Consider the following 12,316-nt stretch of genomic DNA (forward strand, 5'->3'; position numbering starts at 1 on the left):
CTTGCCACACTGCAGGCAATGAGGAGGAGAGAAGAGAGGAGGAAAGAGCCATGGCCCTTTGGGGAACCCAGACTTAGGAGCTCCCCGAGCCAGGGTTGTGATGCCCTCTTTGGGGCTCTACAGTTCCTGGTACCTCCAAGCTTTCAGGCACCACCATGTTCCCCAGTGCCCACAGTGGAAGCCGCTTGTGGTGTGCCTGGTTCAGCCGTGCTGGGGTGCCAAAGGTGGTATGTCTGGATGTGTGTAGTGGCCGAACCCTGTACTTGCTTACTCGCTCACACACCCCTCACTGCTCTGTGCCTGGCTCACTCTTGGCAGGCATGGGGTCTGGGCCAGTAGCAAAAGCTGAGCGCAGCCTGCCAGGCTGAGTGGGCAGAACAGGCCCAGCGGGCCCAAGCAAAACTTGGGCAAAGATGCCACCAGCCACAGTGGTTTCCGGCTGGTGAAGCAACACGGTAAGGATCCTGTGACATTATCTGTTTCTCAAACAGTGGTCTTTGGATCACTTACTTCAGAATTATCCAAAATGTAAAAATGCTCAGAACTCATCCCAGATCTAGTGATTCAGATTTTCAGGAAGTGGATTCCAGGGATTTGCAGTTTTTCTTTTTCAAAGACAGGGTCTTGCTCTGTTGCCCAGGCTGTGGTGACAATTGTGCACTGGTGCAATTTCTCACCACAGCCTTCACCTCCCAGGCTCAAGCAATCGATCCTCCCACCTCAGCCTCCCAAGAAGCTGGTACCACAGGTGCACACTACCATGCCTGGCTAAGTTTTGTGTTGTTTTTAGAGACAGGGTCTCACTATGTTGCCTATGCTGGCCTCAAACTCCTGAGCTCAAGCCAACCTCCTGCCTTGGTCTCCCAAAGTGCTAGAATTACAGGCATGAGTCACCATGCCCAGGATTTGCATTTTTGAAACCAACTTCTAAACATTCTTATATGCATTAATGCAATAAATATAAAAAAGATATAGCATATTTAGCTGAAACATCCAAATGAAATTATTATTTTTCAGGAGGGGATCAGAGGGCAACAATCTCCAATGAGAGGAAATGTTTGACACATACAGGTTGGTTTCTGTTGTGTGACCATGAATTATTGTGAGTTGCTAAGTTAGTTTTTTGGTGTGTGTCAGAGTAAATCTCAAGTTTTATTCAAATAGCTGGTTGGCAAATCTCAAGTCATTGGCCAAATGAGAACAAGCCATGTAAATGACACACAGATGCACACAACTGATTTTTATAGCCAGACCTGAGAGTTAGAGATGGAGATGGACAGGCCACATCATGAAGTCTCTCCCATGTAAGGTGAGAATATACCAGATTCAAAGAAAGTAGCTTCTGCATACTTTTTTTTTTTCTTTTTGAGACAGAGTCTTACTCTGTTGCTCAGGCTGTAGTGCAATGGCGTGATCTCAGCTCACTGCAGCCTCTATCTCCTGGGTTCAAGACATTCTCGTGCCTTAGCCTCCCAAGCAGCTGGGATTACAGGCATGCACCACCATGCCTAATTTTTGTATTTTTAGTAGAGACAGGGTTTCACCATGTTGGCCAGGCTGGTCTTGAACTCCTGGCCTCAAGTGATCTGCCTGCCTCAGCCTCCCAAAGTTCTGTGATTACAGGCAGCAGCTACCACACCCAGCCCGTATACTCTTTGTTTTTTGAGACAGAGTCTCGCTCTGTCGCCAGGCTGGAATGCAGCGGTGAGATCTCGGCTCACTGCAACCTCTGCCTTGTGGGTTCAAGTGATTCTCCTGCCTCAGCCTCCCGAGTAGCTGGGACTACAGGCACATGCCACCGTGCCCAGCTAATGTTTGTATTTTTAGTAAAGATGGGGTTTCACCATGTTGGCCAGGATGGTCTTGATCTCTTGACCTCGTGATCTGCCCGCCTCAGCCTCCCAAAGTGCTGGGATTACAGGCATGAGCCACCATGCCTGGCCACCTGTATATTCTTAATGTGATTTCATCCCCAAAAATATTCAAAGTGGTGGTGGTGGTTGGGGGAGGCAAATCGCCCCCAAGGGTGTGCCATGCTAATTGAGAACACAGAAGTATGAGATATTACAGATATGCAGGACTGGAGAGTGGATCAAGAAAGCTGTCAAATATGAATGCTTTAGCCTAACAAAGTATCCTTAGAACTCCCCATTTTCCCTTTTTGCAGGGGGATACATGTTTTGTGAGGTCTGAGGTTTATGAAATTTTGGGGGCTCTCAAGAATGCAAAAGTAATTATGAATACAAATTTAGATACTAATGTGAATGTTTATTAATGAGAAAAAAATTACAACATATTACTGGAACCCTGGAAGCTGAGGTCCCTTTCCTTTGAGAAATGTTTACATAAATGTTTCCTGATTGCAACCCGGCTCCTCCTCTTCATCTGGAACAGCCTGTCTACATTTTCCGGCAACAATCAGAACTCACAGGGTCTGATCTGAGCGCAGGTCCCCAGTACTTAAGTTTAATTAGCTTCTTTGTAAATATGCCTTTACACTGCAAAGTAGATTTCCTTTCTTAATTAGCTAAACAGCTAACTCATCAACTTATATTACTTAGTCCTGGAAAGACAGATGATTATTACTTTCACCCTCAAGATTGCACAGCAGGGAGGGCAATTCTACAGGAAGGCTGTGATACAGTGTCTGTCTCCAGGATGACTGCCATCAATTCCTTCCCTCCCTGTACAAGCATGTTATTCTTCACATCAAGAGGTGGATCCAATTCCCCTAACTTCAAACATGGACTGGCCTTAGAGATTTCCTTGACCAACAGAATGTGACAGTGATGATGTTCTGGGACTTCTTAGGCTAGGTTTTAAGAAGCCTTGCTGATGCTGCCTGGGACTATTTTCATTTCTCCTTTTCTCTCTTTCTCCCTTTCTCTCTCTCTCTCTTTCTCTTTCCCTCTTTCCTCTTTCCCCCTCCCCTCCCTCCCTTCCTTCCTTTACTTCCTTCCTCTCTCTCTTGCTTTCTCTCTCTCTCTTTCTTTCTGTTTCTTTCTTTCTTCCTTTCTTTCTTTCAAGATGGGGTATCACCTATGTTGCTCAGGCTGGCCTTGAGCTCCTGGGCTCAGGCAATCCTCCTACCTTAGCCTCCAAGTAGCTGGGACTATAGCTACGTGCCACCATGCCTATCTGGGATTCTTAAACCACCCACTCTTAGAATATTTCCTCTCAGAATCCAGCTGCTATGTTCTGGGAAGTCAAAACCACCTGGAGAGGCATGTAGTGCTGCCTCAGCTAAACTCCCAGTTGACAGCCAACATTAACATGTGAGAAAGCCATCTTGGACTTCCAGCCCAGACAGGTCTTCAGACAACCCCAGCCCCAACTCACATCTGACTTTGGCCATGTGAGAGGTCCTAAGGAAGAGCCACCCAGCTGAACCCAGTCAACCAACAGAACTATGAAAGAGAATCAGAAATTGTTCTGCAAAGCCTCTAAGTTTTGGAGGAGGTTTGTTTTGTAACCAAAAAAGGCATAGAGGAATTGTGTTGGGATATAACTCTTGTATGCCCTCTATCCCAATAAGACTGGAAAGATGAAACATGGGACACTGAACTCCCTGGAGTTATTTCTCTGGTCCCTATTTGTCTGTAAGTGGTGCTTGTTCCCTCTGCTCCTGTCTTCCAGCAGGTAAATACTAGGAAGACCCTCCCGCTCTGGGATTGGGAGATGAGAGCCCACAGCTATTCCATGGGTTTGATGTGGGGGCTAGAGGAGAGGAATGAGAACTCCATTTTGGTCTCAAATCCAAACCTTAACCAAACCAATCTAACTTTATACTAGTTATTAGTTATAAAGTTATTTTGACCCCAGACTCCAGTGTCTATTTTTTTAATTGGTTCAGAAAACTTACGGCAAAAAAGCATATTTTTTCCTCTTTAGACCTCAACAAGTACCACCATTCTTCCTTTCACATAGTCTGGAAAGCGAAGTCTTGTTTTTTAAATTTTACTTGGCTTCATCCTCTAAATCCAGTCTGCCTCATTATGCCACCTTTTAGTTTCCACGGTCCCTTCCCCAGTTCGGCTCCTCACTGCCACAGTCTCAGTCCTGCAATGACTGCCCTGTCTGCAGCTCCCCCATCTCCCATGGTTACGGCTAAGATATTCCTCTTGCTGAAGACCTTATCTACTGCCTTAGGTCCAGTTCAAGGACCTCTGGGGCAGTTAGCTTTATTAGAGCTAACAGCCCTTCAAGCTAATCTTTCAAACTCAAATGACCCCATAAGGCAAATTTTATTTCACACTAGACGATTTCTTCCTTTCTTTAAAAAAAGAAATTGTCCTATCTCTTTTTCTTTAGATGATATACTTCTCCCTCCTATATCCAAATCCCCTAGTCCCTTAGAAAGCAGGAAACACATGCTTTATGGCTCATCCTTCTTTGGCTAACCATCTAACTAGCCACAAATTTGAATTCCTTGAAGATATGTTCCCCAGTGCTCTACTCAGTAAACACCACCGGACTCATGATACCTATGGAAAGAACCACTGAAATTTTGTGGTTGTAATGGAGTAGGAAGAAGAGCTAGGAACTAATATTTATTATGCCAGGTTTTTTGTTAAGTACTTCATATGTCATTCAGTTTTTTCCTTGGTTTCCTTAGTATAACAACTCTATTGTCCTCTTTTTCACCAAACAGGAACCTGAGATCCAGGGAAGTACTTTTTCAAGGTCACTTAGCAAGTGCAACGATAGAGCTTGAAGTCAAGACTGATTACCAGTCTAAGTTTTTTAACCACCATATTATATGGCCTCCAGGTTTTTTTGAGGTGTCCAGGAAATTCTTTAAAACAAATTTTTCTTCCTCTTCCAAATAGAATTACTGTTACCATTTTTTAAAACTTCAAGACTTTCGGCCATGCATATATGCTTTTTTCTGCATATCATCACTCTCTTTGTATGAACAATCATGTTCTGCTTCACTTCAGATGGCACAGCCATTTTCCCATGTCAGTATGCACCAATATTGTTTCTTATGAATGGGCCAGACTGTAGAAAGCACAAAATACAACAAAATATGTTCTTTCTCCAAATGGGATTTTGGCTTGGGAACAAAAAGTCACCCAGAATCAGAAGATTATAAATGTTAAGATGTAAACATGTTAAATATTATTCATGTTTTCATGGGAGAAAATGGGGGAATCCCAAAAAAAGTAGGAATTCTAAGAGACAAGGTCTCACTCTGTCACCAAGGCTCGAGAGCAGTGGTGTGATCATAGCTCAAGGCAGCCTTGAACTCCTGGGCTCAAGTGATTCTCTGGCCTCTCAGTCTCCTGAGTAGCTGAGATTACAGGTGTGCACCACTATGCCCGGATAATTTTTAAACTTTTTGTAGAGACAGGGTTTCATTATATTGTCCAAGCTGGTCTTGAACTCCTAGGCTCAGGTGATCCTCCCACTTCAGCCTCCCAAAGCATTGAGATGATAGGCGTGAGTCACTGTGCCTGGCCTTCATTCTCTCTCTTTTTCATGGGGAGGGGTGGTGGGAAACAGGGTCTTTCTCTGTCGCCCAGGCTGGGGTGCAGTGGCACAATCATGGCTCACTGCAGCCTCAACCTTCCAGGCTCAAGTGATCCTCCCACCTCAGTATCCCCAGTAGCTGAGACTACAGGCAGGTACCACTAATTTATTATTTATAAATTTATTATTTATAGATACTACATTTGGGAGAGTTTATTATTTATTATTATTATTATTATTATTATTATTATTATTATTATTATTATTATTATTTTTGTAGAGACAAGGTTTTCTCCATGTTGCCCAGGTTGGTCTTGAACTCCTGGGTTCAAATGATCTTCTCGCCTTGGCCTCCCAAAGTGCTGGGATTACAGGTGTGATCCACTGTGCCTGGCCCATTCTCTATTAATATGAAAGTGAATACAAGGAATCTTTAAGTGTGAAGACCTCCAGAAGCCGGTGGGGAAGGAAGACTAATATTTACTATCTCTGACCACGTACCACATCTTGTTCTCACTGATGCTCTCATTTCACTGATGTTCTCATTTGCTTTTCCTAACAACTTGTCAACATAGGGATTTTTACCCCACCTTAAGGAAGAGAAAAGACAGGCTGTGATTGCTTGTGCAGTCCTCTGGTAACACTGGTGCTGGGTTGGAATTCAGATACTACAGTCTAAGGTCTTTGTTCTTTTAAAGAAGGCTGTTTCAGATAAAAGAAAAAGAAAATCTAGATTTTAGAAAATGGAGAGTGAGCTAAATAAGTGATCTGGAGTTATAAAAAATACCTGATAGGAATCTTGATAACCAAGGAAAGGAAAAATGAAGCAGAAATAAAATTGGGCCCCTGTGGTTCAGTCTAGCAGGGGCGGAAAGGGGGCTTGCTGAGCTGAGGAGAGAGCTGGCTCCGCAAACTGGCCCCAAATAGAGAGGGCCTTGTTTCTCCAAGAGCCCAAAATGGGGCTAAAGGCAACAGCACAGTCTTTGAGTGGAGGCTGGAAAGAAGGGTGAAATTAAGAAGAATCCTAGCTCTACGGAGGGCCTGTCACTGGCCAAGAAGGGGTGTGGCACAGAGAACATCTGGAGTTTTGGGCTGCCAGCCTGTGCTGGGCTGTCTGAGTTACAGAACAGGAGATGTGTGCTGGACTGGGACTGGGAGAATTGCTGAGAAAGAAGAATGTGAGGAGAGCCTGGGCTCCAGTGCGTTTGAGTTAACAAATCCTATCCTTCTCCACTGAACTCTTTCAGGACAGTATAAAAAAGTTTAATGGCAAACTTCACTAAGCAAGAGGATGGGGGACCTGGCTGGGAACATTTTCCTTATGCTGGGGGAGAGGCTGCACTCTATGCTGTTAGGCAGAAAAAACCAGGCACTGTAGGCTAGAGGGGAGTCAAAACATCCCCTACACTCAACCCACACCTCCAGACAACAGGCCTGTGCTCGACTGGTGGTGAGGGCCTCTCTTGGAATTCAGTTCTTGGCCAGAAATCCCTGCCTTAGACTGGGGAAGGTTTGAGAGAAGCTCAGCAAACCTGGCGGCTGCTCTTTGGGTTTGGCAAACTCGAGATTTTTCCAGCGCCTTGTGTTCAGCGAAACTGAAAATGTGTTTGGCTAGAAACCCTTCACTAATTTTTAAACTCCTGTGAGTTTCTTTTTTTTTAACATAAATTTGATCCACATGTTTTTGATTTATTTCTATTTAACTCATCAAATCAAATTAGGAGCCACAATGATGAATGGGAACAATGCTGATTTCCAAGAAGATTTTTGCGCACTTTTTCTCAGAATTCAAACACATTCCACCCCCAGCCCCCTACAACTGTTAAAACTACCAGACTGAGCTGGGTTTGAAATTTAGAACCCAAATGTGAAATAAAGATCCACGCCTGGCAAAGACAGAACATAGCAGGGGAATGTTCTTAGGGAGTCACAGAAAGAAGGTGGGCCCAGGATGGGATAATGAGAGAGGAAGTGGGTCAGTTATTCTTCCTTAGGTGGTTTCAGTATGTTAATCGAGCTTTCTAGGCTCCCAACAGAGGCCACTTCTCATGGGAATGCTTTTGTCACTACCACCCAGGGAAAGGGGGTTCCTGCTCCAAAAATTGTGGACAGGGGGTTCCTTGTACCTATTTTTTTCCCTTGTGTTCTCCTCCATAGTAGCCAATTCAAGCTGCTCTTCCGCTTCCCTTCTAACAGTTCCACCCCCTCCCCCCGCCACCCCTTCCTGGCTCTGGTGGAGGCCTCTCCATCTGGAAACATTTAACATGTACAACAATTTTAATCTTGTGCAAGAGAATCTTAGACGCACTACATACCCATTAAGCTAAATTATAGGTGCACAGTGTTACTTTGCACAATTCTGTCTGGTCTCGGTTTGCACACACAACAAAGGCCATTACTGTCTTTCCCAATTACCCTTTCTACTATACCATCATTTTCCACAACTTCAATCTGAGGCCAATAGTATTTCTCTGGGAAACTCTGGCCCCCAAGGTCCCAAGACAAAGTTGCTCTCTTAGGTTTAAGACAAATGCACCCTCATCAGAGCCCCTTGAACCAGTACTTGGTACGTCCCTAAACACTGACCAAATAAATTTCCTTGAATTTGGCTTCTCTCCCCTACAGAACCTGATCTAATTAAATAGACCTGGGTACAAGTACCAGCTTGCTACTTATTAACTGTATAACTTTGGGGGTTATTTTACTTTCCTTGGTTCCAATTTCCCAATCTGTAAATTGGGTATAATAACTATACTTACCTCACAGTGTTGTTGTGAAGATTAAATGAGATGTGTCCTGTAAAAACCTTAATTTGTTGCATGGAGATAGGGAGGTGTTGGTCAAGGGATACCAAGTTTCAGTTAAACAGGAGGAATAAGTTTTAGAGATCTATTGCATGGCAGCATGACCACAGTTAATAATAATGTGTATTTTTAAATTGTTAAGAGTAGATTTTAAAAGTTCTCACCACAAAAAATGATAAGTATATGAAGTGATGAATATGTTAATTAGCTTAGTCATTCCATAATGTAAACATATATCAAAACGTTACACTATATCCCATCGATATACATAATTATTTGTCAATTAAAAATAAACTTGGTATGTTGTCTCACCCAGACTAAGTAGTTAATAACAATTAGTTTTATTATTATTGAAACTGCCACACTTTATTCAACTCTAGAACTTTTCTAAGAGCATTTAAATTTTTGCAGAGGTTGACAGTTTCATTCTAAATCCTCTCCACTCCCACGAATGCTGAAGTGACCAACTCAGTGTCCTACAAACCAGTATCATTCAGCGAGGTGACATAAGGTTTCTCACCAACCACCTGGGATTCTTACCGAGTTCTCAGGGACTCTTCCATGCAGGCCCAAGTTTTAAACCTACAGTCCCTTCCTGAGATCTGCAGTAGCAGAGAGATTGGAAGATCTAAAATCTAATGCATACAGAGCACTCTCCTTCAAGCCAAGTGGAGCTGCTGCTTCTCATTTTATATAAAAAGTAAATGTGAGAAAGGGAGGTGGAGAAGGAGGTTTTTACTTTGCTTTAAGGAGCAAAATCAAGACCTTTACGGATGCTTTTTGGAAAGTAGAAAGGTGAAGGCAACATTTAAGTTATCTGACAAATGCCTCTCTTGTAAGGGGGAGAATAGAAAAGTCCACGAGTCCAGTTACAAGCCCTGTGCTCAATGGCATTCAAAAAGAGAGTTGGAGGTCCGACATTTATTGCTCTTCTCTGGTGAGAAGTAGTTTTAGCAGTAATTCACGGATCCTGATGTTGGGAAGGAATCCACCAGCTTCTAGGGGGAACTTTGGACACCTAATGTAGTCATGGTCTTCATTATGCAGAATTGCTATGAGGACTCAAGAGAGAACACTTGCAGAATTTTGACAAATGGTAATTATTATTTCTACCGAGCTGACCTCACTTGAAATCCTGGGTGATACCAGGAAATGTGTGTATCTTCCATGCCCAACATTTACTAGAGTTTTCTCTTTCAGTGGCTTCTTAGTCCCTTTTATCTACATGTACTATGGATGCCAGCCCAGCTCTAAAAAACCCTAAGGAAACCACTCCCTGGCTCACAGCTCCGCCAAAGTGGTGGGTCTAGGTGACTGTTTGTGCCCATAAAGGGTACTGAAGTGGACATATAATCTGAAGGGACAAATACACAGGCTGGGAAGTCACTTTAGTCTGATATAAAAGGTGAACTGGGCCAACCAGACTCCTCTCCGGAAATGTGGAATTGGGAGAGTGAGAAACTGGGCTGATTGGTAGCAGAGCCATAAAGAATGTGGTTGGCCACATCAGTGGCAGAACTCCATGTGAGGGCTGAGAGCTTTCCGCTGTGGAGGCTTTGCAGGGCTGCCTTGATTTCAAAACCACTTTCCCATAAAGCCTGGCTGTTCAATCATTCTGCTCATGGACACCATAAATATCTCTTCTAATATTATTACTATTGTTTTTTTGAGTCAGCGTCTCACTCTGCCACCCAGGCTGGAGTGTCATGGCACAATCATGGCTCACTGCAACTTCGAGCTCCTGGGCTCAAGCAATCCTCTCACCTCAGCCTTCTGAGTAGCTGGGGCAGGCATGTGCCACCACATCAAACTAATTTTTTACTTTTTGTAAGAACAAGGGTCCTGCTATGTTGCCCATGCTGGTCTCAAGCAATCCTCCTGCCTTAGCCGCCCAAAGTGCTGGGATTACAGGTATGAGCCACCATAGCCGGCCTTCTTGCAGTACTTTTTTTTTTTTTTTTGAGTTAGCTCTAGTAAGTTTCTGTTTCCTCTGACCAAAATAGTCTTTGTTAAAACAGCACCTGCTCTTGGGAAGTACATGCAAATAGAGTTATGTCTAAATGTTCTGAGCATTTCCAGTCCAAGGAATTATTTTAATGCTTAATTACAGGCAAGCCGCAGTGGCTGATGCCTGCAATCCCAGCACTTTGGGAGGCCGAGGCAGGTGGATCACTATAGCTCAGGAATTCAACACCAGCCTGGCCAACATGGTGAAACCCTGTCTCCACTAAAAATACAAAAATTAGCCAGGCATGGTGGTGCCCACCTGTAATCCCAGCTACTTGGGAGGCTGAGGCAGGAGCATCACTTGAATCTGGGAGGTGGAGGGTGCAGTGAGCCAACATTGCACCACTGCACTCCAGCCTGGGCAACAGAGTGAGACTCCATCTCAAAAAAAAAAAAAAAAAGAAACAAAAAACCTTAATTACACATTGTAGTAAATGCTATTGGTTCCTGACTTATGCCTTCCTGATTTCCTTCTACTATCGAAATTGGGAGAGTTAAAACTCTTGCTCTCCCAAACTCCCTTGCAGCTAGAAGGTCATGTAACACAGTTCTGGCCAATGAGAGGCAAGTGAATATCTGTTGGGACAGAGGCTGCCCCTCCTTTCCATCTTTGCATAGAAATGTCAGGCTTGGACCTACTGCCACCACCTTGTAACCATGAAGGGAAAGTCAAAGAAATGCAGAGACGCTACAGCCCTGACACAATGGAGGTGCTGAACCAACGCCAGCAGCCACCAGATTTCAGCCTTCTTACTGGGTGAGAAAAATTTACCTTTAAACTCTTAGGCTGTTGCAAAAGTAATTAAAAAAAAAAAATGGCAAAAACTGTAATTACTTTTGCACCAACCTAATACTATCGGTTAGACTTTTCCAAATTTGGAAGCAAAAAAATTTCTAAATGATATATCCAGAAAGTCAACATAGAAATCGATACTGTTTCCTATATGGTAAGACACATGATTTTTTTTAAACCAAATATATGACCAACTTGTTTGTAAATTAACTTCTCTAAACATCAGCTGAATGACAGAAGCTCTTCAGGTAATTAGTCTAACGAGGGGATAAGGTATACATAAATAACTATGATCAGGCCAGGTGTGGTAGCTCACGCCTATAATCTCAGCACTTAGGGAGGCTGAGACGGGTGGATCACTTGAGGTCAGGAGTTCAACACCAGCCTAACCAACATAGAGAAACCCTGTCTCTACTAAAAATACAAAAATTAGCTGGGTATGGTGGTGTGTGCCTGTAGTCCCAGCTACTCGGGAGGCTGAGACAGGAGAATCACTTGAGCCCAGGAGACAGAAGTTGCAGTTAGCCGATATCATGCCACTACACTCCAGCCTGGGCGACAGAGCGAGACTTTGTCTCAAAATACAAAACAAAACAAAACAACTGTGACCGAAGGCAGACAGTGAAAACACTGTACGTGGAAGGTGCTCTATGTATATCCCAAGTAGGGAGAGACATTACTTCTGGTTGGGCAAGGAAGAAATCAGGGAACTCTCCATAAAAAAGCATCTAAGCTAAACTCCAGAGAAAAAAAGAATTTGGATGTTTGGAGTTGGGGAGAAAGGGCATTCTTGGCAAAAGGAATAGTTTAAGCAAATATGGGAAACCTAAGGTCATGTAAGGGAAACAGCAAGTTCATTCTGGCTGGTGCAGGAGAACAAAGATCAGAGAAGTCCAGACCAAATTATAATAAGCCTTGAACACCAAGTGAATGGGAGTCTGAGCTTTACTCTCCATGCCTGGGCTGCCATTGAAGGTTTCTGAGCAATTAGGAGTCAGTTTTTAAGGAAAATTTACCTGACTGCAATAAGTAGCATGGATTGGCAGACTTAGAAAATGTCAGGAGGAGGCTGTGCAGCCATCTGGGTAAGAGGTGATGAAGGTGTGAACCAGAAGAGTCAAAGTGAGAATGGAGTGGGAAAAAGACACAGACGTGAGAGATACAGTGGAAGTACATATAATACAAGTTGGCTACTGTCTGGATATGGGGTGTGAGTCACAGGAGGAATAACGCCGAAAAT

The 12,316-nt window shown here is 43.6% G+C and overlaps 1 protein-coding gene across 3 annotated transcripts in view; it reads right to left on the bottom strand.

Moving 5' to 3' along the window:
- PPM1H (protein phosphatase, Mg2+/Mn2+ dependent 1H) overlaps positions 1 to 12,316 on the bottom strand; it is a 291,157-nt gene that overhangs the window by 33,348 nt on the left and 245,493 nt on the right. The gene's annotated exons all lie outside the window — the stretch shown is intronic.

This window comes from Homo sapiens, chromosome 12 (genome assembly GCF_000001405.40).
Source record: "Homo sapiens chromosome 12, GRCh38.p14 Primary Assembly".
In the NCBI taxonomy this organism is placed as follows: Eukaryota; Metazoa; Chordata; class Mammalia; order Primates; family Hominidae; genus Homo; species Homo sapiens.